Source organism: Homo sapiens, chromosome 3, assembly GCF_000001405.40.
Source record: "Homo sapiens chromosome 3, GRCh38.p14 Primary Assembly".
NCBI classification, from domain to species: Eukaryota; Metazoa; Chordata; class Mammalia; order Primates; family Hominidae; genus Homo; species Homo sapiens.
Genome location: NC_000003.12, coordinates 190,358,597 through 190,384,936, shown reverse-complemented (window position 1 = coordinate 190,384,936; position 26,340 = coordinate 190,358,597). Strand labels below are relative to the sequence as shown.

At 37.4% G+C, this 26,340-nt stretch overlaps 1 protein-coding gene across 3 annotated transcripts in view, besides 2 other annotated features; it reads right to left on the bottom strand.

Moving 5' to 3' along the window:
- CLDN16 (claudin 16) overlaps positions 1-26,340 on the bottom strand; it is a 121,778-nt gene that overhangs the window by 27,202 nt on the left and 68,236 nt on the right. For 2 of the 3 annotated variants that reach the window (NM_001378492.1, NM_001378493.1), the window contains 2 exons: positions 13,936-14,044; positions 10,334-10,409 (listed from right to left, as the gene is read on the bottom strand). The gene's annotated coding sequence lies outside the window, so the exon portion shown is untranslated. The remainder of the gene's footprint in view (positions 1-10,333; positions 10,410-13,935; positions 14,045-26,340) is intronic. The other variant, XM_047447333.1, reaches the window with a different exon arrangement.
- Positions 343-637: a silencer, noted in NCBI's record as "tiled region #3521; K562 Repressive non-DNase unmatched - State 13:Ctcf". NCBI's record gives its function as "represses a minimal TATA promoter and a strong SV40 promoter by Sharpr-MPRA in K562 cells {active_cell/tissue: K562}" and the evidence as "EXISTENCE:reporter gene assay evidence [ECO:0000049][PMID:27701403]".
- Positions 22,162-22,723: an enhancer, noted in NCBI's record as "OCT4-NANOG hESC enhancer chr3:190080003-190080564 (GRCh37/hg19 assembly coordinates)". NCBI's record gives its function as "activates a minimal SCP1, AML or CMV promoter by ChIP-STARR-seq in naive H9 embryonic stem cells {active_cell/tissue: H9 hESC(naive)}" and the evidence as "EXISTENCE:reporter gene assay evidence [ECO:0000049][PMID:30033119]".

The following is a 26,340-nucleotide window of genomic DNA, read 5'->3' as shown; positions in this document are numbered from 1 at the left end:
TGTTTTCCAATTTATTATAAACATGAAGAAAAGTTATTACTGTGTGTTGCTCAATAAGGTTTACAAAATATTTTCAGATATATTATCTCATCTAAGCTCTGTGAAGACAGACATCTTTCGTTCACCAGTGCATCCCACATGCTTAAAATTCTACCTGGCATATGGTAGGCTCTCAGCAAATGTGTAATAATTTAATTCTCAGAGCCCCCACATTTTACAGAAGAGGGAGTAATATTGGACTTTCCCCTTCTGAAACATTCAGGGTCCTCCAGGATGGATACTAGGCTGGCAAAAGTGTCCTAATCATCTTTGCAGCTCCAGGGCTATTGATTTTGCAAGATCTCTAAGACCAACAGTTTGGTCAATTCATTATGCACCATGTTCCTACTCACCCAGTGCTTGCACTACTCCTGGATGAGGCTTTAGAGCCACCTGGCGATCAGTTGAGTGACACCCTTAATCTAGCACCGTGGCTGTTGGTCTATTAAAGGAAGTAATTGTAGAACTGGAAGTATTGCAGTTGTCCTTTTGGTCTGCAGGTGGAAGCAGCCTTGCATTTTCAGTTAAACAGAACAGCAAGCTCTTGTGTCAAGAACAGCATATTTTTGTGTTAGTTCTGTTGTTTCCATTAATGTCACAAAATGTTCCCTCTATATTTATTAGGATAATAAGAGTTATTAGAAGGAGTAAACTGACTTATACCATATCCTATAAATAGTCTTCTAACTCCCTTTGAAATTTCCAGTGCATATTGGAAAAATCTAAACAATAAAATCAGTTGCTGTTCTGAAAGGCCATGCTAGCTATAACTAATATAAAAAAAGCGGTGGTTAAAAGCTTGGACCTCATAGTCAGGCTGACTCGAGTTTAGGCTAAGCCCATTTATATATGACAGATCTTGAGCAAGCTAGTTAACATTTCTGAGGCTGCCTTCTTGTCAATAAAATGAGAATTATGAATTTTGTCCCATAAAATGGCTGTGAAAAATGAATAACGTTTGTAAAGGTCTTAATGAAGTGCATAGAACTCAATAAATAAGCAATAAATTGTAGTTAGTATGATTTTTATAAGTTTGCTGTTTTATATATGTGCCATGCATATACATATGTATGTATGTTTGTGTGTACACACATGTATGTGTGTGTATGTATATCTATATCTATATATAAAACAACTTACTAAGTTGAAAACAAAGGAAAGAAAAAGTGTAGTCATAAAACAATTTCATTTTTGTCTCCTATGGTGCTTTCAAATCCATTTGGTTTGGGCCTATTCTTCCCCTGACCCTTGAATAAAATATAGGGCAAGTTCTATGACATTTATGTCATTTTCAGGTAATGTTTCAGGTAATATAATGTATTTTAGTCATTTCAAAGCACAAAGATACCGCTTCCTTCCAGTGATATGAGTATCTGTACCCCTGTACATAGGCCAAATCTCTTTATAGCCACTCCTCCATCATGCAGTCATCTTCCATCATGTAGGCAATGTGTCTGCTAGAACTTTTGTTCCTTAGATTTCTTAGCTGGAGAAGTGCACAGGTTTACCGTGTTTCTCTAGATCCAGGGAGCAAACACCAAGTGTTCAGAGCAGATGAACTGAAGCCTTGTTCTTTAGGCTTAAAGTGAGATTCAAGAACTCCCAGTGTCTGCCCCCTCCGTGGTGACATAAAAGTGGTACTCAGTACATATCAATAGCTCCCTCCAAAAATTATCTCCTAAACTCTAACTCCTTTCTTGGGGTTAAGTTTATTTGTTTGTTTGTTTGTTTTGAAAGGGAGAGAGATAGCTGGTCCACTAGGGGCTGCAAAACTGGTTCTCAGACACCATTTTTGCAACTCCGGCATAGGTCTCTTGTTTCATTTTGGAACTTGGTCTTTATTGTCTAGTGGATTCAGTAAAAACTGAGTCAGAAATGATTCTAATTTAAAATCCTATTACACTAGCTTATGTGATGTTGCACTGGAAGTCTAGTGTTCATTACGGGCAGCCCACACCTGGATTTGTTGTGTTTACTCTTGGGTACCACTATTTAAGATAAAGCCCAACTAGAGAAGGTTCCAGTTAGTGAGATTAATGAGGAGATCGGCAACTATCTGGCAACTATCTCACATGAAGCATGACTGAAGGAAATTGGGACAAAAAGAGTATTTTAATTGTTTTCAAAAAGGGAACAGAGCAAACGTGACAGTGGGTTTTAAATAATGGGTGGATGGCCCAAAGGAATTATGATCTTTCTGGCAGGCTTCAGAGAATATAACTAGAAAATATTGTAAAAGCACAGAGAAGCAGAATTATGCTCAATTAAGAAGGGACTTTCCAACAGTTAGAACTGACTGAAAGGGAAATGGTCTGGTTTGGTGGGGGTTCAAATAGTGGTAGGATCACCATTGGTACAAATGTTACCTACAAAATTCATGAATCAGTTCATGATGGGAATAATTGACATCTCCAATGTGGAGAATGCTTGGGCAAGCATGAGGCCCTGAAAATAGTATGCTGTTTATGCATCTGTTTTCTTTCATAGAATTCAAGTTTTACTTAAGCCAAACCTCAGCAATTACTCAGTGAATCATTCATCAAAAATCAGCCTCAAATTCAGTAGCAAGGCATATGTTGTTACTCATTCTGTAACTTACTTCACCTGGAAAAACAAGATGTTCATCATGGTACAGCATGATTAAGCAATGGGGGGTGTTTTGAGTGAACCAGGTTGGAATAAACCTAATGTGAAAGGTTAACATTCTACTCCCTTTGAGTTAGTAGGCAACTCATGAAGTCATTCTGGCATAAAACCTTTCTCTTGAATGCCCTACACCCTTCCACATATATCCTATGTTCATTATGAAATAGGACATAAAATGAATCTGTCTGAATTGGGCTTAATCTCACAAGTTGAGGCTTTTTTTTTTCTTTTGACTCAAACACATTCAATTGGTCATTATTAATATCCTTTCATTATTTTGTATTTCCTTCTTGTTTTCTCTCCAAATATTTAAGTATTCTCTCATGAAGTCAATGTCAGCTCTTCTTTGTAAATCAAAAAGACTATGCAAATGGTAAGATTTCAGTGTGTACTTAATCCATGTTGGGCAAGGAAACACTGAAATTGCCAGGAAATGTAGGATACTCTCTATAAACTGTTAGGTTGAGTCCTTATCACTGCACTCATGCCAACCTTCCCAGTCCAGTTAGCTTAACTGGTGTGTTCTTAACTCAGCACATCTGTTCTCACTTAAACATTCTGGAGTGACAAATATACAAAAGCAGTCCCTACCTAACACAATAAAATAGAAAGTTAGATGACTAACTTTCTATTTTATTCCAATACACTGGTGCTAAATCACATCAGGGATAGAAATAATATTATCAAGGGCCTAGAGGCAGTAGGAGTAAGTATTAAATTAAGAAGCAGTGAGTGAGTACTTTGGTATGTCCAGAGTTTAGCATATGTTTAGGTCAGCATAAGAAAATGAAGCTGGAGTGGCAGGTGATGGTAACCTTGTGGAAGATCTTCAGTTCCAGATGAAGGAGCATGGATAAATTTGAACTTATCTTTGAGAGTAACTGAAGGTTTTAGACAAGAGAGTAACAGTGATCAAGCAACAGATTAGGTAGCATCTTTTTTTACTGCTACCTGTAAACTTAAACTTCCATCTACTTACACTTTTAAACCAGAGTGAACTCCCACCAACCAGGTATGGGGAAACTAATAAAAACAAGTTCTAATCAATTGTATTTTAGGAAATTACCAAGAGTTCTCTCCCTTTACTCTTTTTCTCGCTGTTTGCACTGCACCGGCGTCACCTCCCTATCTTCTAATGGCTTCCTGAATTTGCAGCCTTTGTAGTTTATTTGTCATTTGTATTCCAGTCCTGACCTTTGGACTTGAGAATTAACTTTGGGTTCCCCATCTTTTATACTTAGTATTCCTTAGGGTGCAACTTGTACTCACACTCATTGTTCATCTGAATAACTTCCATGCTGTCCTATTTAGCTCTGGTACCGGGAACCCTGCCTTGCATCAGTTAATTTTATAGAACCATTTCCATTTCCTTCTTCTCAATAAGGGGAAGCAACTTCAGGCTTTGATTGTCCAGATTTCTTGATACACAACTAAAAATTTTACTAATTTATTTATTTTTATTTATTTATTTTTTTAGATGGAGTTTTACTCTTGTCGCCCAGGCTGGAGTGCAATGGCGCGATCTCAGACCACTGCAACCTCTGCCTCCTGGGTTCAAGCAATTCTCAACCTTTGTTAGATGCATAATAAATTGTAAAAATTTTCTCCCATTCTGTAGGTTGTCTGTTTACTCTGTTGATAGTTTCTTTTGTTGTGCAAAAGCCCTTTAGTTTAATTAGATCTCATTGGTCAATTGTATGCTTTCTTCTTAACCCATGAATACTTCAGTCTCTCAACATATTTATGCAATTTCTTCTGCCTAAAATGCTTTTTTATTTTCCCTACCATTTATCATAATCCTAACCATCCCTCAGGAATAAATATTAACTTTGTGAAGCCCAAATTGATATCTTCAGTTACTCTCCTCTCTTTTTGTTGGACTTAGAATCAGTAACTGGATAGTTTAGTATGTCACAATTAAGCTTTCTATATATTTGATACCTCTAGATGATGTTTATTAGTCTATAACCAAAAAACAGAAGGAAGGAAGGAAGAAAGGAAGGAAGGAAGGGAGGGAAGGAAGAAAAGGAAGGAAGGGAGGAAGGAAGGAAGGGAGGGAAGGAAGAAAAGGAAGGAAGGGAGGAAGGAAGGAAGGGAGGGAAGGAAGAAAAGGAAGGAAGGAAGAAAGGAAGGAATGGGATTCACCAAGTAGAGAATATGTCAGGCTTAGGTCAGCCACTTAGTAACTATAGATTAATAGAATGCCACTCAAGAAGCTTGCAGGCAAATAGAAGTTTAGATAGATAGATAGATAGATAGATAGATAGATAGATAGACAGAGTTGATAGACATAGATAGATCAATCTAGGTCTACAATGTTGAAATACATGTTTCCACAAAATGTTATAGGACCATAAATGAGGAAATGATTAATGCCTCTGGAAACTCATTACAAAAAGCTTCATGGAAAAGATAATGGTTGATGTAGTTCTTAAATAATAAGAATTTCTTAGAAAAGAAGGGAGTGTTCCTAAAGGGAAACATCTTGAACAAAGACAAAGACTTGTGAATGTGCATCACTGTATTAAGAAATGTGTTCGTGAGAAGCATCTTATAAACAACTTAGGAGCAGGGATGCTTTCTTTTGCCTGTGCTTGTACATGCACAGCAATACCAAGTACAGTGAATGTATCATTGTAGATGACCACATGATGATGTTGTTTGTTTGTTTGTTTGTTGAAGCCCAATGAGAATAAAGATTGTGTGACTAGCTTTATTAAATTCTGGGTTTTAATACATATATGTTGAGTGAATTAATAAATGAACAAATGAATTCTATGTGCCATACATTGTGCTAGGCACCAGAAATTCATCAGTGAACAAGATATTCTAGTTGGGGGAGGGTATCCAATAGTATTTAGGCTCTCGATAGATTTTTGCTATCTTTCTATCAGATGAGATATTTTACTGTGAGCATTCTAAAGAGATCCTTCTAAGGTGACCCTGTAATAGTGTAGTTTATTTTGGAATACATTTTACATTCAAGAGGCTAATCATTTTAATAGAAAAATGGACTGGAATTATAGAAACTTGGTTTCAGTCCAAGGTACACTTCAGAATTTTTTAGCTTATATTGTATTGAAATGAAGGAGGTGAAACTTTGACAATTGTTCAGTTGATCTGACCATTATAGAAAGCCAATCTATGTAACTGAGGCTCAACAACAACAAATCAAGTACGTTTCTTTGCTTACGCCTCAAATTTTCAAAGGTCTATAGCCCAGTTTTTGAAGAATTAATGGAAATAACTATCATTATTCCTCATTTTAATCATATTCAATTGGAGTATATAAACATTTGTATTTATTTTTATTTTGTACTACAAGACATAATTAGAAAGGCATCATATCACCATTTTATAGATGACGAAAATGAGGACTATATATTAAGTGACTTATTCAACCTGACACAGCTAGAAAGTGGCAGAATTGGAGTTTGGATCCAAGACAAGCAAAGTAGAACACAGGCAAACGTCCAGTGGAAATTACAAAAGCCAATGTAGATGAGTCAGGGAGATGGAAGTCCTCCCAAGGAGAGTGAGGCCTACTCAAAACTGGCACTTATTCAGGAACAAGTTTCCATTTCACCTGTTACTTGTCCAAACCCTTACTCATCAAGATCCGACAGCAGGACTCATACGTAAGAACTCATCTACCATTGAATAGGATGGAATCAGGGCCTGGCACCCATGATATTTGGACTGCCATCCTGGTTTCATGAAAGCTCTCTGCTGAAACGATGAAGCAAGTCACTTCATTCCCTTGAATTTATCAGTGAAGTAGTTTCAATCATGAGTGATCATGAGTGATCAGCCCTCAGGGAAGCATCACTCATGAAAGGTAGAAGGTTCTATTGTACTGTATATCCTGTTCTCTACATGTGTGAAAACCTTGTGAGTTTTACCCTCCTTTAGAAAGAACTTCTCTCATTTTTGTCTCTTATCTCTCGTCTGCTGATTCTACCTACTGAGACCCTCCTTCATCTTCAAGGATCTTCTCAATTGCTGTCTTCTTGTAAGTGCATTGTGAGCCCTCATTCATACGTGACCTTTTCTTTGAATTATTATTAGCTCTTTGCTTGTTGTAATAATAATTATATAAGAGGTAGTCACTATTATAAGCATGTGTTTAATGGACAAGGAAACAGATGATTGGGGTGGTAACTTATCCCAGTTTTTCCAGTAAGTAAATAATGGAGCCAGGATTTAAACCCAGGTTTGACTGACTCCAGAGAACATGGTCCTAAATAACACTATGCAATATAGACTTCTACTTTGTTATCCCCATATCTTTCTCTGCTAGATTTCTGGAAACTCCTAGTTAAAACTAGAAAGGAGTTTGGAGATACTCTTGTTCAGGAATTCCTTTTACAGATGAATAAATAAGGTTGCAGGCAAGTATTTTCCCAGGATGACAGCTGTTAACGAGAAACCTAAGACTCAAACCTTCTTTACACTTTTAGCTCTACCTGTAAGATTCATAAGGGCAGAGAGGGTGCCCGCTCACCCTCTTATCACTCGCAGAATTTACACACACATCTTGCTCTTAGCAAGGGCTTAAAGAACTATATTTCACTGGAATTTTTTGGCAACCAAAGATCACTAATCAGAAAACAGAGATTTTAGAGCTTTTCATAGTGATTAATAACATACATTGAATACAAACCAGTAACTGTTACTTATTTTCACATCTAAGGAGACTTTAAACAGAGAATCTCAAAATACAGAGTTGTTTTGCTTTGTTTTGTTTTGTTTTACCAGGGACAAAGCTCAACTAAACTTATTTGCAGAGATGAAACTAACGGAGACCCAAATGGAACCCAAGAGTACAAACTCTTATGATAGAAGGATGATGACCATGTGACCTCCATTTTTAGTAAAATGTTTCAACCCAAGAACTTAAACAGAAGTGAAAAAAAAAGTTATTTGGATATCAAATGCATTAGCAGCAGCATTTGCTTGGTGCTTCCTTTACCACATTCCTATCTTTTTAAAGATTCTCATCAATAGCAGAAAAAACTGCAAAGTATGCAGCACAATATGCAGATCTTTCCCAAGCTGGTTCTTCTTTTCCTCTCTAGATTCACTTCTTATGCATCCCTAATATGTACCCTGTTTTCTTGCGGTTCTGAAATGCATACAGTTCCTTTGAACCCAGTAACATTTTCTCTGGCATCCAAAAAAGGCTCTTCCCGTTGCCTGGAAGATTTCTGTCCTTCTCCTTTCCTCACTCCTTCAGCACTTAACTAGCTTCTCTGCCTCTGTCTAGACTCAGGTTTCATCATCCGATAGTTAGTTGATTCTAAAGCCTGTTTGATCACCAGAGTCACCTGGGAATTGCTATTAAACATCAGATGCCCAGATAAATAGTGATTTACAGGCATTGCCATTTCTTAAAATTGAATTACCAGGAGATTCTGAGAAAGAACTGCCTGAGATAGCTTCTCTGAGTCTACCTCTTCCTGTTACATCACTTATCAAACTGTAATTCTCTGTGTCTCTTCTCCTTACCAGGATGGGAATTCTTTATGGGCAGAGAAATGCCTTACATTTCTCTCATGGCAGCATTAGATCAGTGATTAAGTTTGGATACCTAAACGAATACATTCGGTTTGCAAATCATTAGCTTATTTACTCAAATTGTTTCCTCTGCCTACAACATGACCATGTACACCCCTTTATATTCCCGTAACTTTTTCAGACTCTTTTGGTTAAAATTACTCTCTCCTTGCTGTATATTCCTATGGAAGATGCTTTTGTTGATTTTTCTCTCATAACACTTTATAGTTTTACTTATATTTATGTGTTTGTGCATCTCTCCCACCAAGTTCTCAGCTCCTGAAGGTCGGAGACTAAGATTTTTTTTTCAATTTTGTGACTTCTTCAGTAATCATCAACATACCTTTCATTTCTGTTGTTGAATTATCAAAATTTTATATTTCTTTAATTTTCTAATCTTTCATATCATTAATATTCTCAGAATACAATCCTTATGACCATTTAATACTCCTCAGAAATGCGGTTCTCCTGCACAAATGCTAGGGAAAGTCTTATGTGCTCAAATTGGTACAGGATTCTTAATAATAAATCTGTAATTGATAGTTTCAGCACAACATATTCTGAAGTCAATGATGTGGATTCCTTTGAGAATTGTGCCTCAAACATCCAACCCTATTGTTCTTTCAGTTCCAAGCTATACCTAGTAGTACCTGCCACTAAAACAAACAAAAAGTACAAGAGAATAATTGTGCTGCTTGGCAAAAATGGAGGGGGTTACTGGAATTATTCTGCCAGAAGTGATCTGAGATCAAGATACTGGCACAGCAGAGACATACGTTTGAAGCCAGGTGACAACTCAGGGTGTTTTTTTGTGGGGGGAGGGGTGTGAATGTTTAACTGAGAGGCAAGGGTGAAGAGATGAACAAGAATCAGTGAAAGAAGATGACCAGAGGAAAGTAACAATTTAGTTGCAGAAGCCGAATCTTCTAAAAATGGAAAACCTGTGAGGCACTCATTTTGCATTAACCCACAAAAACCTCGCTGGATAGAGGGGAGACTCAAAGGAAACAAACTGGGATCAACAGTAAATGTTTAATAAAGAGATAAGTGAAGAACAAGCAAATGCATTAATGAATATCTGGTTTTACTTACATCTAAAATTTCAAGTAGTACCATAACAACCTGTTTTTTAACCCCCTGCTATCTGCTTTGTGTAGCAATGTCTAAATCTCTCAACTGGAACTAGGATCAACCATAAAACAAATTGGTTTCTTCCTGCATGACCCATAGTCATGTATGAGGTACTTCCTCTTAATTCCAGCATGTGATCTTTTTTCATCTGAGTTCCTGCAATGGCCAATAGCTTTCTCTAGATCTGTAGCCATTCTACACTTGCAGCCTTGGCATTCCAAAGAGCCTAGAGGCTGAAGCAAAATTAAATACCAAGTTGGAAAACAAAATGAAACAGCCTAAATCCCCTTGGTCAGTTAACATTTGCAAAAATGCTGTCAGTAAGTTATTAAACAAAGATTATTTCTTTGACCTTAAGGAATTATATATGAAAGAAAAAAGTAGGGTTATCTTATCACTTCTCCTAAAGTGCATCTCACCAACAGGAGTTTAAACATCCCTTCTGAATAAATAAAAATGAGGGATGAAGTGCAGGAGATAGACAAATAAAAAGATAATTCCTTGCAATAACACACAAGGTACCTTTAAAAGTTTTATAAGTATATGCCTCTTTTTATAAGGAAATATAGTATAGATATAAATCCAAGATACTTGTAAATCTAATGCCATGTAAACTTATTTAACTGTTCCCTATTCTCTACCTTTATTTTTAAGATATCAAGTCCTATTTACTCTCTGCTTATATTCTCATTAGTAATACTTAAAACTAGACCAAAAATAGTAATAAAAATCGGCACACAATACATGTAGAATTTTTGAAATATTGTTTTAGGTTTAGTAGCCTTGGTCTTTTTAAAAACAAACTTTCTTTTTTGTTTATTTTAACTAACAAGTGTTGTTGTTCTTTTTGAAAATAAATGATGGAAAACTGAAGAAGTAAGATTGATAAATGATATGCCTGGATCTATCTAGAAAGCTAATGTCTAGATGTGGGAAAAAACTGAAAACTTAACATGCTGACCTTCACATGCTGTATGTGTTAGATCCAACCACAAGAGAATGGTTTTCCAAACAGGTGGCCAACAACGAGTTCAGTCCTGCAGAGTGATAAAGAATGGATTGTTATAAGGGTGTTAGGGCAGGAAAGGGAAGCAAACACTTAGCTTGCCACTCCCTTAAATGGCATCTTTTATGAACTTTGGCATCCTTTGTAAACTTTTTCTGGTCAAAAGCAATTCATGGAACTTGTTGATAACTTACACATTTGGCCCTGTGCAAATTAAGGGTCTCTGACTCTGCTTCAGGGAAAACCACACACACACACACACACACACACACACACACACACACACACAATGTTTTTCAGGGCTGGAAGGAAAATAGAGAAAACCAATGACTCCACAGATTGATGATTCCATTACTCATATGGTAGACTATTCTGGATTCTTGGAATCTGGAGATTTTTACTTGCATTTTGATCTCTCCAAAACCTTTCTATGACTGAGTTCTATGTTTATATGACATAAAACCCAACGAGCTAAAATTTTGCTGCTTAAAATTCCTCCTCATTTTTTTTTATCATTCAGAAGAAAATATAAGCATTTGGGGCTAAACTTCAGCCACTGAGAAGTTTCTTCCATCCAAATGGAGAAAAAGGGGAATTCAGAAGTTTCCTAACAAGTAAGATGAGTCTTTTACTTGCAAGGGAAATGTATAAGGATCTCTCAGGTCTCTTGCCAGACCACCAAAACAATACTGATCTGTTTTCTTTTTTTTTTTTTAATATGGGCACATTATAGGCAATTTAAAATATATACCACTATCATCTATATTTCCTACATCATTGACTAGCTCTGAAGAATTTCTTCATGCAATAAAAATGCGTCCTGAGCGCTGGACTAGCTATTGGATAATCAGTGATGACTGACACCTGTTCTCTAAGAGCTCACAACCTGTCTTGATAGATTAAATAATCTTATCTTAAATAATGCACAACAGCATTATTTAAGGCAATATAAATTAGTTAAATGCAATGCATTATAACTATATTTGAGGCCTAACCACTCAAACTATACTTAACAAGTTTAGTAAAGAATAGTCTTTCTTACAGCCTTTATGTTAAAAAAGCATTAAGTCAAAATTTCTTTGCAGCTTTTCAAGAAGATTGAGAATCAGAGAACAAATGTATTTGTTCTAAATGAGTTACTCATAAAATTATATGTTCTTAGCTTGTATGATTAATGAAACTGTTCATAAAATGCTGCTGTGGTCGTAGGTGTAAAGTAAGAATTTGCTGGCTAATAGGCCCAGTGACTCCCTGAGGATGAATGAGGGACAAGGAGCAGATTGGGTGAGTCAATGGACTAAGGCTCTAGAAACCCTGCAACCCCTGCTGAAACAGATATTTATTATGTTAGAAAAATCATATCACTGCCTTGAGCCTCATTTTCAAAGTATAAGGAGAAAGGGAAGGGACTTCTCAGCTGTTAAAATTCTTATACTAAATTGGATTTCCTAAATGCTACAAATGTCAGATAAAGAACACCTGAGAGACAGAGCAGGTAGGCTATGTCAGGGACTGGAAGGCAGAACAAACAAAGGGGCTGCCCTTTGAAGAGTCAGGCAGATTATCAGCATGTACAGTAAGGATTCCGACACAGGCAGAAATGCTAGAAGGAAGAAAAAGATGAGGGGTTAAATGGCTGGGGTCAATAGTCAGGAAACAGGAACTGGGCTCCATGGAGCTAAAGATTCAGGCTCACAAAAGCAGATCAGATACAGGTACAAGCCCCTCGTATTGGGAAGACCTTGATACTTAAAGAAGGCCTTTGACAAATGACTGCTTTTATGTTTTCCTTTAAGGAGAGGATTGAAGGAAAGCTAATTTGAATGAAATTGCTAGGGACAAAGGGCCACATTACACAGGTTCACAAATACTAGCTCATTTTTGTTTAACTCATTTATGTATTTATTTTTAGTTAGAGGCCTAGTCTTGCTCTTTCACCAAGGCTGGAGGGTAGTAGGACATTCACAGCTCACTGCAGCCTCAAACTCTTAGGCTCAATTGATCCTCCCACCTCAGCCTCCAAAGTAGCTGGAACTACAGGTGTGTGCGACAAGCCCAACTAAATTATTTTTATTTTGGGGGGGAAGGGGGTCTCAACATGTTTCCCAGCCTTGTCTCAAACTCCTGGCCTCAAGTGATACTACAGCATCAGCCTCTTGAGTATCTGGGTAAACAGGTAGGCTCCACTGTGCCAGGCTCAATACTAGCTCTAATTTTGGTTTGTTTGTGAGGAAACTGGAGTTCAGAGAACATCAGTAAATTTCCCCACTCTCAGGGATGTGAAGGAGCTGGGTGTCTATCCTGAAAGTGTTGGTAATGAGGCTGACAGTGGTGTCTCCCTCTGTTTGCAAAGCTTTCCAAGTCTTGGGTTGAAAAAAATAATTTCCAAATGCTGTCCAAATACAAGACTCATCCTTAGCCGGCCTCAAGTATAGCTAATCCTGCTGGGATGTGACCTAAGTGGGGAGTGAGAAAGACTGTGAGACAGGGCATGGGACCTGAGATAAAACACATCTTACACTGGAGCAGGTGCTCAGAGCCAGACTAAGACACCCTTATATGTGAGGGCAAACAGCTCAAGAAAGAGAGCACAGACGCAAAAACTTATGGTGGCCAAGGGCAGTCAACAGCCCAGCCAGGTAGATGTTCGGTGACCTGGGACAGCAGATATGTGGGCTTCAGTGTCAGGGAATCTGGTGTCTCTCAATTTACATAACCAAGGAAAATGGCAGAAATTTTGGCAGACTGAGCATCTGACTTGGAACTAGGGTTCAGGAATGAGCAAATTACCAGCTGCCAGTTGAATTGGACAGAATATTTATTAATGAACTGCTTCAACAAATATTTATGGATCACCTCCTAATTCAAGGCTTTCCTCCAGCCTGGGATTATATCAGTGAATAAATAGACAAAAATCACTACTTCATAGATCTGACTTTTTTTTGAAGGAAACCAGCAAATAATTTGGGTACCAAGGAACAGGCTGGGAATGTAATTTCAAGAGCAGGCATTAGTGGGAAAATTGAGAACATCAGAGTCTGACCTGATTCCTTCTGCCTGGACTATTGGTCTATGACTTATTAAGTTCCTTCTTAATAGAGATGCACTTGTTCCTATATCCTGGCATGGCAGTGAACCTACGAAGTGTAGGGTTTGGAAGCGTGAGACAGCAGGAAAGTCAGAGAAACTAAAAAGAAATTATCATGAGCAAGCATAACCCTCACATATGTATGACTCATGTATATCTATCTACTTGCCTATATGAGATGTTTAACTGTTGTATTAGTCAGGTTTCTCTAAAGGGACAGAACTAATAGATTAAATATGTATATATTATACTATATATATGTATTAACTCACATGATTACAAGATCCAACAATAGGCCATCTGCAAGGAACAGAACTAATAGGATAGTCCATAGAGGTACAGAACTAATAGGATAAATATATATATATTATACCCTATATATTTATACATTTATATTTGTTTATATAAATTTATATATGCATATATATTTTATATATATATATATATATATATAAAGGTATTAACTCACATGATCACAAGATCCCACAGTAGTTCATCTGCAAGCTGAGGAGCAAGAAAGCCAGTCTGAGTCCCAAAACTCAAGAACTTGGAGTCCGATGTTTGAGGGCAGGAATCATCTAGCACAGGAGAAAGATGTAGGCTGGGAGAATAAGTCAGTCTAGCCTTTTCATATTTTTCTGCCTGCTTTATATTCTGGCCACACTGGCAGCTGATTAGATGGTGCCCACCCAAATTAAGGGTGGGTCTACCTTCCCCAGCCCACTGACTCAAATGTTAATCTCCTTTAACAGCACCCTCACAGACACACCAGGAATCAATACTTTGCATCCTTCAATCCAGTCAAGTTGACACTCAGTATTAACCATCACAACTGTCATGAGTGCACTTAAAATCAAAACACTTTTTTTGCAGGTTGCACATGACGTAGGTTTAGCTCATCATTCAGATCATAGCCATGTGAATTACACCCCTGCAGGTAAGTTATGCACAACAAGCATGGCCACATTTAGAAACTCTAAATTTTTACAACCAAGCCGTAATGAGTGATACTAACTTGGTAGTGATGATAACCAAGATGTATGACACTCAAATCATTCACTAAAATTTGTTTGGAAAATACTAAGTTTAAGTTAATGAGTATGCTCATAAAGTAGGTAGCTAAAGATACAACATAAATTGAGGAAATATTTACTTTACTGTCTTTCTTTTAGAGAATGGCATAACTTTCAGGATTATATGGAAATAGCTGAAGAAGCAAAACCTACACCTAATGATTCACCACATCTTTCAATCCAATCTTAGAGACTTAAAATAGCAGAGCTAGAATGCTTCTAAGATATTTCTTAAAAGGAAAGAGACCCTTTCAACGTTCCAGAAATGCTAGTGACAATTCCAGTTTCAGAGCCCAGGTTTCCTAATGGCCCATTTAGTGCTCTTGCCTTTCTACTACGTTGTCATACCTATCATATAAAAGAATGTCAGCTATTTAGGGTAAAAACAAATGTCCTCTGTATGTCTCAGCCTTTCTCGGAATACAAAATTCGCATTAAGGCTTTTTGCCAATTCTCAGTTTGTGAAAACATCACAGGTTTCATCTACTCAGACCTTTTACTCAAGCAAGGGAAAATAATATTTAGTTCCTCCCTGCAACAAACAAGTCTAAACAGAGCCAGGGCTGGTTTAGTCAGTTTTTCAGCCATTCTTTCGTAAGATTTTGTTTATGATCATTAACTTGAGTCACTGTTTTCCCTAAAGATAAGTACAAAGAAGTATATGAGAAAGTGATTATAAGGACAAAAGACTCAATAAACAAATAAACATATTTATGTTTGTTGACATAGAACGATGTTCATAACACACTTTTAAATGATATAAAACTAATACTAGTAAAGTTTCATTTTTCTAAGATATACATACAATTTCTATTAGAAAAAGACTAGGATAATGTACATCAAATTTATGGAGACATTTCAGATTATTTTCATTGGTGGAGTGGTTTGCTTATCTAGATTTTCTATTCTATAATGAATATTTGTTGTGTAATAAAAATGACATGGTAATCAAATTATAGCAATTTCTCACTGCATGTTCTCTTATGAGCAGCTTCTCTAAACCAGATCAATAAACAATTTCATCTGAGCTCTACAATAGCTTTATGAATCAGTTAAAAGATATGCTAGAACTGGAACCTTAATGGTAATCATTACAGAGGAAAGAAAAGACATGGCTGGGTACAATGGGCCAGTGAAAGTTACCTTGCTTTATTCTGTCTCCTTGGAGGCAGTGACTTTCTGAGTAAGGGGTCTAAATTAGACTTGCATATGGCAGCAGGATTTAATAGTTAGTAGTGACCTAAATAAGTTGAATAACAGTGATATGTTGAAAAAAAAATCTGTCTTTCAAGGAGCATGACACAAGACTGCATAACCCAGAACAATGGAAAGGAGGGCTAATCAGGTTAAGATCTATGACTACCTGTTTGAGATCAGAGGCTGAAAGATGTTTTACAAGACTATCATTTTTGGTCTAATAACACATTATAAACTAAGATGCTTGTTAACATTTAAAGGCAGGGCCTCTACCTATGTATACACTGGGATGGCCTTTAGTAGCAAGCAACAGAAAATCAAAATCAAGCAAGTCTAAACAATAAAAGGGTTTGGCTAGCTTAGAAAAGGGAAAAAATACAGAGGAAAGGTGGAATTGTAAGCATTTGTAACCAATTATTTATGCTCTACCCTCTTCAGAATGACAGCTTTGTCTTCATGCTGGTTTTCCTTGTCCTGACAGAATGACTCTGGCCTCCTCATACACACATTTAACCATCCAGGAAATAGGAGAATATCCATGTACAAGAATTTCCTTCAAAACCCTGAAAGTCATTCTGAATTGACGAACTTAAGTCACTTGTCCACTTTTATTCCTATCACTGTTTCAAGAAGAATGAAACACACTGATTGGTTTAGTCAAAATCACTGTATTAGACATCTACTACTGTGTAACAAATTACCCCCAAAACTTAGCAGTTTAAAACAACAAACATTTCTATGGATCATTTCTTTCTATGGATCATGTTAGTTGTGTGGTTCTGACTCAGGATCTCAAGCTGTTGGCTAAGGCTATAGTCTCATCTGAAGGCACAATGGGGGAAAGAATTGATTCTACTCCATCATTGTTGGCGGACCTCTGTGCCTCACCAGTTATTGTCTGATCATCAGATCCCTGTCATTTGAGCCCCTTCATAGGCTTCCCACAGAGTGTTCAGAGGGACAGAGTGTGCTTTCAAGATGAAAGCCACAGTCTTCTGATAACCTAATCTCAGAAGTAACAGATCATCAATTCTGCTGAATTCTATTGATCACACAGGGCTATCCCAGGATGTGGGATCAAACTGTACAGTGTATGAATACCAAAAGAGGACAGACATCATTGAGGGCTATCTTAAAGGCTGCCTGCCACAGCCAGGTATGCCACTCTGCAGCCAGGAGCAGTATCAGCTTCCCCAACACATCAGGACCCAACGTAAATCAGATTACAGAGATTTCTGGAAAGGATAAAGGGAGGAAAGATTATGGGAATGTAATCAAAATGCAGATTGCAGAGACTTTTGGGAAGGAAAGGGGGAGGAAAGATTATGGGAATGTAAGAAAAATGTATCTACTGCAGCCCACAGCTTTATATTTCATATTAATTAATACAATTGTTTCTGACTCCACCTTGCTGATACTAAAAATTTTCAAGAAAGAAATGGAGCCAAAAGTGCATAAAACATATTCTACTAATTCTAATAAATTACATGGAGTTCCACAATAAAGTAGGCTTTGGCCAGAGAGTTAAGGCAACAAAACAGAAAAGGTTTCATTTTCCATAATAAAGCCATTTAAAAACAATGAATTTTGCAGACCGTATGTTCTGTGTAATACTCTTTGACAAATAATAAATCGGACATTTGGGCAACATGATCACATTGATTCTCCTCTAATCCTAATATATTATATATTCCTTCCTTATTCAACAGGCAGGTATTGAATTTTCCCGCTGAAGAAATTCACCCTGGAGAAGTAGTATTGAGTCACTAGTTCACAGGCCAAATTTCTGTTTGATGGCTTTCATATTGTGTGCTAGTAAATTCCAGGGGGAAGATAATTTATGCCTATAATTTTGAATATTAAGTATCAACTATCTAAAAGGTCACAAAATAGAAAGATTGTTTCATGAAGTAATGATTATCTTGCTTTCTATCACATTTAAAGTTTCACTATGCACTTTAATATCTATGGTCAAATACAAACCTTCGGAGTTATCAGAGTAGACAGTATTATCCTATCATAAAACAAAGAAGAAAAGAATATTCATTTCTTTCAGAATGACAAATGAGTGTCTCTAATCAAAGGGGAGCAAGATATGAAAAACAGTGTCGACTAAAGATAAAAAGGATTTCAAAGTAACCCGTGGTTTAAAATGTTGTGCTAAAATTAAAATCTTGAATGTTTTTATGTATCTTGTTCTTTGAACACTCCCACATGCTGCTTTGGGGCAATTTTAAGGCCTTTGTGTACATCAGACATTCTTAATTTTGGAGGTCTCAGCTCATATTATATCAAATAAAGCAGAAGCTATGGTATGTTTCTGAAATCCCTCTGCAGGAATAAGATACTCCCCAAAGCTGCTGGGAGACTTAGATGCTGATTGCTCAAAACTGAGATCCTCTCTAGCGACTGCTCTGTTATAGGGAGCTTCTTTCCTAAGGATACCCTCCCTCCTGGAAAGCAGCCCACATCTCAGGACGTAGAAAAGAGAGTCACGGTCCTTTCCCCCAGTTTGGGTCAACTCTGAAGGGTCATCCCAAACACAGAGCTCCATGGGGGATTGGCCAAGGTGTTTTTGTAAGTGTATCAAAGTTTAACTTTTCTCTCTGTCCAGTCTTACTCTCACCCTTTTACAGGTGTGTTTGGATGAGCACTGGTTAGTAAATCTCCTGCTTCTAAGTCTCCAGTTGAGAGTCTGTTTCCCCAGGGAATGTGACTTAAGACCACTGGTATCAGGAGTGGGCCTAAGATACAATCTTTAAAATGGGATTTTTTAAAAAGTTAGATCACCTACTAACCAGCTGGAAATGAAGACCCTGTCAGTGGAGTAGATGGATTACTCATAGCGTTGGCATGCTGTGTCAGTGGCATTGTTAAAAGTTTCACTGGTGATGAACTTGGCTGGCATAATGTTGGAAAGTAATACATGGATGGTGCAACATGTCATACATTTTGAGAAAGAAAGAAAGAAAATGAAAGCCTAAAAGCTATAAATCCTAATTTAAATTACCAATTTAAGGTAAATGTCAGAGGCGGCATACAAAAATACTCTCATTTCCCACAGCTGCAGGGACAATAAAAGCAGGCCCAGGACTTAAGAGCTCCAGAAAGCATTGATTGAGAAGTAGGATCTTTAAACTTGAGAAGGCAATATCTGGGCTGATGTACTTACAAACTTGCTTTCCGAACATGAATCCTCTCTGGTTGTAAGAGTGGCCCATTTCTTCAAGTTAAAGACTAGTGCTCCCCCTTGCTTAAGAATTATGTAGAGGCCTGTGCCTTGCAAGGCAACATATACCCACTCGAACTTTGAATATACTAACACTTCTCCTCTAGGCTAACAAGCAGGGTTAAGTCACACCATACCTGGCTGAAAAGAACTGGGTCGGCTAGGGGAGGAATGGAACACAATGGTGAATAAATTGCCAGACCTAGACAAAATAGACTGGCGAATCTGGGAGACTGTGTATATACTGGACCCTAAGAGTTCTAATGGTGCTAAATAAAAGGAGATTAGTAAAACACAAAGATATCTAAGGGAGAGTTGCTTGATTTCAGATCGTTCTTCTGTGATACAAGATTTAATACTTGGTCAAGGATCCTGGAAAATAGTATTAGAGTTGTGAGGCTGGTTCTTGGAAGTTTGGGAAAAAAGATGGCTCATACTAGATGAAGTAGAAATACTAGAACTTTCACGGAAGATGGTGACCAAAAAGTATCAAAAGGCGTAAAGAAGTGTGCATAGCAAAATGGTCATACCACCTAAGGCTGGAAGCCCACCATCCAACTATATTCTATGGAAGAATCCAAAAGACACTTCACTGGCCAATACAATAAAGAGTGCACTGGTGGGTGCAGCATCAGAATAGCTGAAAAGATAAGTGGTGGCTATCCTGAGAAGGCCAGGACTGACGGCAGGGAAGGCTGTTACAGAATGAGCTCTCTGGTAACAACAGAGAATCCCAAAAGAACATAGGCCAGTGGTGCTGATCAATCACCTGATGCAAGGACATATAATGATTGTAAAGTTCAGAGTGGCAGCCAGGAAACATGAGACCTGTGAAGATAGTTAATAGACCGTAGTGTTCTTAGGAAGAGATAAACAGCCAAAAAGAGTGTTACTTAGTGCACATAAGCAAAACAAATTAAGGATGGATAAACAGGGGGCTGAGAGCAAATTCCCAGTAAAATTTCTAGTTTTCATATCTGAGCCAGTTCTCAAAACAAGTATCCATTGACTAAAGAAAAAAAAGAAGAGACAGATCCCGGTGAAGAGAAGCCCTAAAATACTCAGGGGTCTGCCATGTCAGCGAAGTTTTGAGGGGCTCTGTGACGTGGGGCGTGCCGATATAATCACCTCGAAAAAAAAAAAGACAACGCTCAGCTCCCCTCTTTGAGACAGCATATTCCACATTTGGGAATATGTCTTTGACTTATTTACAAAGTGACATTCAAGACTGGCAGCTTTGAGTGGACCCAGCACGATAAAGGGCTCTTCGAAAGTTCTAGACTGCAGTGCAGGCAGCCTTACCACTTGAGCCAGTCAGACCCTAATGCTACTAGAAGTGTAAGTTGCAATTAGAGAACCACAGTAGAAATCCCCAGGGCCCTAAAGCAAGGCCAGTCATACCATCGGCAGCAGAGAAGTAAACACCATTTGAAAAGTAGTCCTTGTTATGCAGCTGGGATCTGGTAGAGATGGAGGATCTACCCGTGGGACAACAGGAACCATTTGGCCAGAGCTACCCATCAGCAGCTCATCATGAGCTATGTTCTGTCAGAACCACAAAGTCATAAGATCAGCCAGATCTATAGCAGTTTATTGTTAGAAGAGGTACATCCAGGATGGCATGTACAGGACAAGAGCTACATGAACGGGTGATCCAGACTCCCAAGCCATACACCACTGCAATACTGCTACATCTCCCTCAACCAAACTATATTCACATGTGGGTGTCCTATTATCTGGCCCAGACTCCCAAGCCATATACCACTGCAATACTGCTACATCTCCCTCAACCAAACTGTACTCACATGTGGGTGTCCTATTATCTGGCTGAAGGACGAGGAAAAAGGATAAGCTTTGTTCACAAATGTATTGGTTTGGCTTAATTTATAGTGCAATCCAAAAAAAATAAAAAGGACCATTCTGCACTACAGCCTCACTCAGGATTACACTAAAAGATAGTAGTGAGAAGACAATCTCCAATTAGGCAGGCAGAATTCTTCAGGCAATACAATTGATACTTCACCTTTTGTTTTTAAGAGAAATAATTCCTGGTAAGAATATACACACATTCAAGGATAGTGGAAAATGATCAGAAGTCTGGAGGAAGATTAGATTTGAGAAAAAAGAGAATAGGAAAGAGACATGAGGATGAATCTATCCGGGTAGGTGCAAAATATGATCTTCGGATCACATGTTAATCCAGTGGGATCCATCAGAGAAAACCCACTGTGTAAAAGACACTAAACAACCAAATAGGCCGTTAACATCAATAGTAAGTACAATTTATCTACAGCTACAGCTGCAGCTCAACTCAACTCTTGCAAGTAACTAATTGATCTATATCTCACCCTAATTGCCAGACAGGAGAAAGAAAATATATATATATATATATATATATATATATATATATATATACACACACACACACACGCACAGCAACTGGAATTTAATAAAAAATTATTATACAGTCAATGAAGCAGAAATATGTGACCAACAATCAAAAGAAAACAGTTTGTAGAAGTGAACCTACATATAAACCAGACCTATTTATTGGAATTAGAAGATGAAGACTTTAAAATAACAATTAAAAATGTGGTAAAGCATTTACAGGTAAAGACAGATTGAATGAATGAAAAAAATGGACCAGTTTAAAGAGATAAATGGGAGTTGTAGAAAAACAACCAGCTAGAATGCCTGTAACTAAGATATGCAATACTTGAAATTAGAAAATTCATTGAATGGTGTCAATAGCAAATTGAACAGTCAAAAAGAAAAAAATAATGACCTAGAAAACAGGGCAATAAAAATCACCTGAACTACAATGGAAACTAAAGAAAAATTCTGGAGAAAAATTAGTGCCCTTGGAATTAATATCGAATGGTTGTAATTGATGTCTCTGAAGGAAAGGAGAAATTGGAAGATAAAAATACATTTTAAAAATAGTCGCTTGAAAAAATTTTTGAATTTGATTTTTTAAAAAATGCACATATGCAAGTTCAATAAACCGAAGCAGAAAAAATACAAAGTACACATATTCAATTACTTTCCCAAAACCAAAACTAAGGTGAGCATCTTAAAAGAGCCCACAGACAAAGGAAAAATAAAGTCAACAAAACAGGAAAACATATAATGTATAGGGAGACAGAGATATAAATACAGTAGCCTACCCTTATTAACAGTTTTGCTTTTCAAGGTTTCAGTTATCTGCAGTCAACTGTGGTCTGAAAATAGATTCATTTTGAAATAAAGCTAATTAAAACAAAAAGTCAACTTGCAATTTTTTATTTACTGAAAATATTCTTCAAAAAATGAAGGCGAACTAATGTAACTGCCCAACTGGTTCACGTTGCCGGCTGCCTAGACAGAGCCAATTTATCAAGACACGGGAATTGCAATGGAGAAAGAGTAATTCAAACAGAGCCAGCTCTGCGGGATACTGGAGTTTTATTATTACTCAAATCAGTCTCCCTGAGCATTTGAGGATCGGAGTTTTTAAAGATAATTTGGCAGGTAGGGGCTCAGGAAGTGGGGAGTGCTGACTGGTCAGGTTGAAGGTGGAATCACAGAGGGGGTCGAAGTGAGGTTTTCTTGCTGTCTTCTGTTCCTGGGTGGGATCGCAGAACTGATTGAGTCAGATTACTGGCTTGGGTGGTGTCAGCTGTTCGATGGAATGAGGGTCTGCAAAATATCTCAAGCACTGATCTTAGGTTTTACAATAGTGATGCTGAAATGGCCTCACTGTCTGGAGTAACACCCAGGGTTCGTTCTTTCACAGCCATGGAGAACAAGGACATGGACACACAAAGAGTGAGGTTGAGAGCAGAGGTTTAATAGGTGAAAAAGAGGAGTCCCAGAAAAATGGGTCTTCAAATGCAAGGGGTTTTATAGATGAGCTGGTGAGGAGGTGCTGTCTGATTTACACAGGTTAGACCAGGTTAGACCAGGTTAGACCAGGTTAGACTGGTTAGACCAGGTGTGCCATTTGTATAGGGCACTAATCCCTGGTAGCCCCCACCCTTATCTTTTATTACGCAGGTGGATTCTCTGAGCTGTGCCATATTGCCCATTTCTTTATTACAGTACAAGTGGTAACAAAAAAAGGAAAGATGGAGCCCCCAGTTGAACATGTCTGGCCCCCAGCTAGCCCTTTTCTGTTGGCACAGCTGCTGGAATTCCCCTGTGCAAGGTTCCAGCTTGTTTATCTATGTTTGCAGCTCAATTTTTCAGGCTGCTCTTTGTTAGAAAAAAAAAATGATTTCTTGGGCTGCTTTTTGTTAGAAGGGAAGCTCTGCCAAGGACTCTTTTGCCCTCACTTTCTGCCTAAATAATTTCTATCTACCTCTTGTATCAATGTTATCTCCAGGAGCAATTTGGGGGCATTCAGACTTTTGCAGCCAGAGGCAGCATGACCCCTAAACCATAATTTCTAATCTTGTAGCTAATTTGTTAGTCCTACGAAGGCCGACTGGTGCCAAGTCAAGAAGGGAGTCTTTTCAGGGAAGGGCTATTATCAATTTTGTTTCAGAGTCAAACCATAAACTAAATTCCTTTCTTTGGTTAGTTCAGCCTACGCTCAGGAATGAACAAGAACAGCTTACAGGTTAAAGGCAAGATGGCGTCGGTTAGGTCTGATCCCTTTCACTGTCATAATTTCCTCAGTTACAGTTTTTGCAAAGGCACTTTCACTAAGGACTAACTGAGATAATGCAATAGTTAAAGCCAATTGCTAATGGGCATTTACAAACAGTATAAAGACTGTGAGCTCTCAGTGCCTATTGAGTGACTAGCACATAGTGGGTGCTGGGTAATTACTGACTCAATGAAAGAATGAAATCATATTATTACATTGAAGTGTTCAAGTTTCTTTGCTCTTTATTTTCAAAAGCTAAAATAAAGACATTTTAACATAAATAAAATTGAAGGAATTAGTTCCCAGTAAACCTACACTAAACATAATTTCTTAAATTCTTAAAAAATAATTTTATGGTTTAAAGCAAGTACAATAACAACGTATTATGGAGTTTATCACATTTAATAATAGCACAAAGAACAGTGGGGGTAAATATGTGTATGTTTTTGTAAAGTTCTCTGTAAGTGAGGTACTATAGTATTATTCCAAAGGTGACAATACTAATCTAAGAATGTATATTCTTAAATATGCAGTAGAGCAACCACATAAAAACAAAATAAAAGTCAAAACAAGAAGAAATAGACAAAATGGCAATAGAGGAAACTAAATGGAACTCTATGGAGAAAAAAAAGTTAATCCGAGAAAAGCAGGAAAGGAGGAAAAAGAGAACAAAGAATAGAATGGGAAAAAAATAAAAGAATACCAAGATACTGGCTGATGTTCAACCAAACAAATAATTACATTATAATTAATAATGTAATGGAATATAATACAAATGGACTGAAAACTCTAGCTACATTTTGTTCTTATCACATTCATCCTCCCTATTTCAACTCTGCTATTACACCAGTTGAGTTTCTTATTATCTCTTATTTTGATGATTGAGAAGACTTCCTAAAATGGTCTTCCTGCCTCCACTCCCTCACATGTCACACCGGATAAATCTTTCTAAAACCCAAACCTTGACATGAAACTCAGCTTGTGCAATCCTTATTGCTTTACTAGTTTCTCTCCCACCTAAATGTGAGGTTTCAGGCCTCCTCTCAATAAAAGAAGGACTGGGGCTGAATATCGGAAGCTTAGAAAATGTTCCTATTTTCCTCCCTGGAAACAGTTTATACTATTTTAGAGAATTTTGTATATCTTCTGCCTTGGACTAGACCTCTACTGTTTGTTGTATTTCTTTGGGCATCTATACTTGGTTTGCAAAGTTTCTTTGTTTCTTGCCTACTTTGCTCTAAATAACAAAGTCAGTTTCTTTTTCATTCTACAGTTTAAAGACCAAGGGTCAGCCAAGCCTCAGTCTCAGCTCAGCCCAACCCAACATAGCTTCAACCAGCCCAGTTAAGAATTCCAGCCCTAGCCAGAGTGTCATCTTGGCCAAGAGAAGCATTCAAATACCTTTCAGTGCCAAAACTCGAGATCCATGTTTCTTCACATCGAGCCTCATAGCTCCTTTTAGGCCACAAGTTCTAGTCACATCAAATTTCAGAAGTTTCTGAACATTTCTTTCTCTTTAATTTGTTTGCATCTTTAGACCTACCTTTCTTATTTAAGAAATATTCTAACCATTTTCTCTGCTTTGGGAATTTATCCTCTAAGACCTGGCTCGCTGAAGCACTCTTCTTCAGTGCTCCCATGCTACTTTGAACAAGCACAGATCACATTAGTTGTAAATATTACCTGTCTGACTCAACCATTGGACTGTAAGGAACAGGGTTTTATTGAGCATTGTATATCCTCTTTGTACTTAGTACTAATGTTAACATTTAAAATCTTTTCACTAGGTGATAGTTGACTAAAGATACAGTTTTTTACAAAGCAGGATAAGAAACATCAAAAAATGAAGCATTATATTCATTTACCTTTAGAAACAACTGTAGGATTGCAATAAAGCTGCACTGGATTCCACTCATTTAATTCAATTAGAGTTTACTGAACACTTACATAGAGCTAGAACTCCAACATATGTGGAAGAAACTGAGTGACAATACTGCATAGGCATTAAGAGAGTCAAATTTGGAAGTCCTTCATGCAAGGTGTGTAATGTCTGAATTTAAATGTTAAGGTCATTTGTTCAGGAGCAAAATAGATGATAATTTTTGTTCATCAAAACTTTTGCCAGAAATAAGACAAATTGTAATGCAAACAAGATTGCAGTTGCAGGAGATGCTTAAAACACTTGAATGACCAAATTGTAGCATTTTCCAATCATTAATTTATATACAGAAAACAAATGCCCTGATTACAAATCATACTGTGTTATAAGAAAAGTTTATTAACTTGAGTAAATACATGTATCAAAACAATAGAATATCAGAAAGCCCAGAATGAAGCCTTCTGCAATTTGAATAATTTTATTCTTTAAAAAAATAATAAATTAGGTTTCAGTAATGTCCTGAACTATGAATATTTTTCAAAGGAAAGGCCATAAGGCCTCTTATTTAGGAAAATTTACCCATTAAATTGGATTATATCTTTCAGTAACTACTGATGTCCTTCCAAGGGTAACAATGGGAAGAAACATGGTCTGCAGCAGAATTGGATTTAATGAAAAAACTATGTCCATTGAATTTCAATTTAGGCAGACTGGTATGATGGGTTAGGTCATCATTAGTTGTCTAATACAATATTAGCCTGTTGAAGCTCTGAGCAATAAACTTGTTGTTTTTTTTAATTTTGCAGGAAAAGTTTACTGTGGAGATTAATTATGAAATCTTGGGAATAAACAGCCAGCTCTTACTG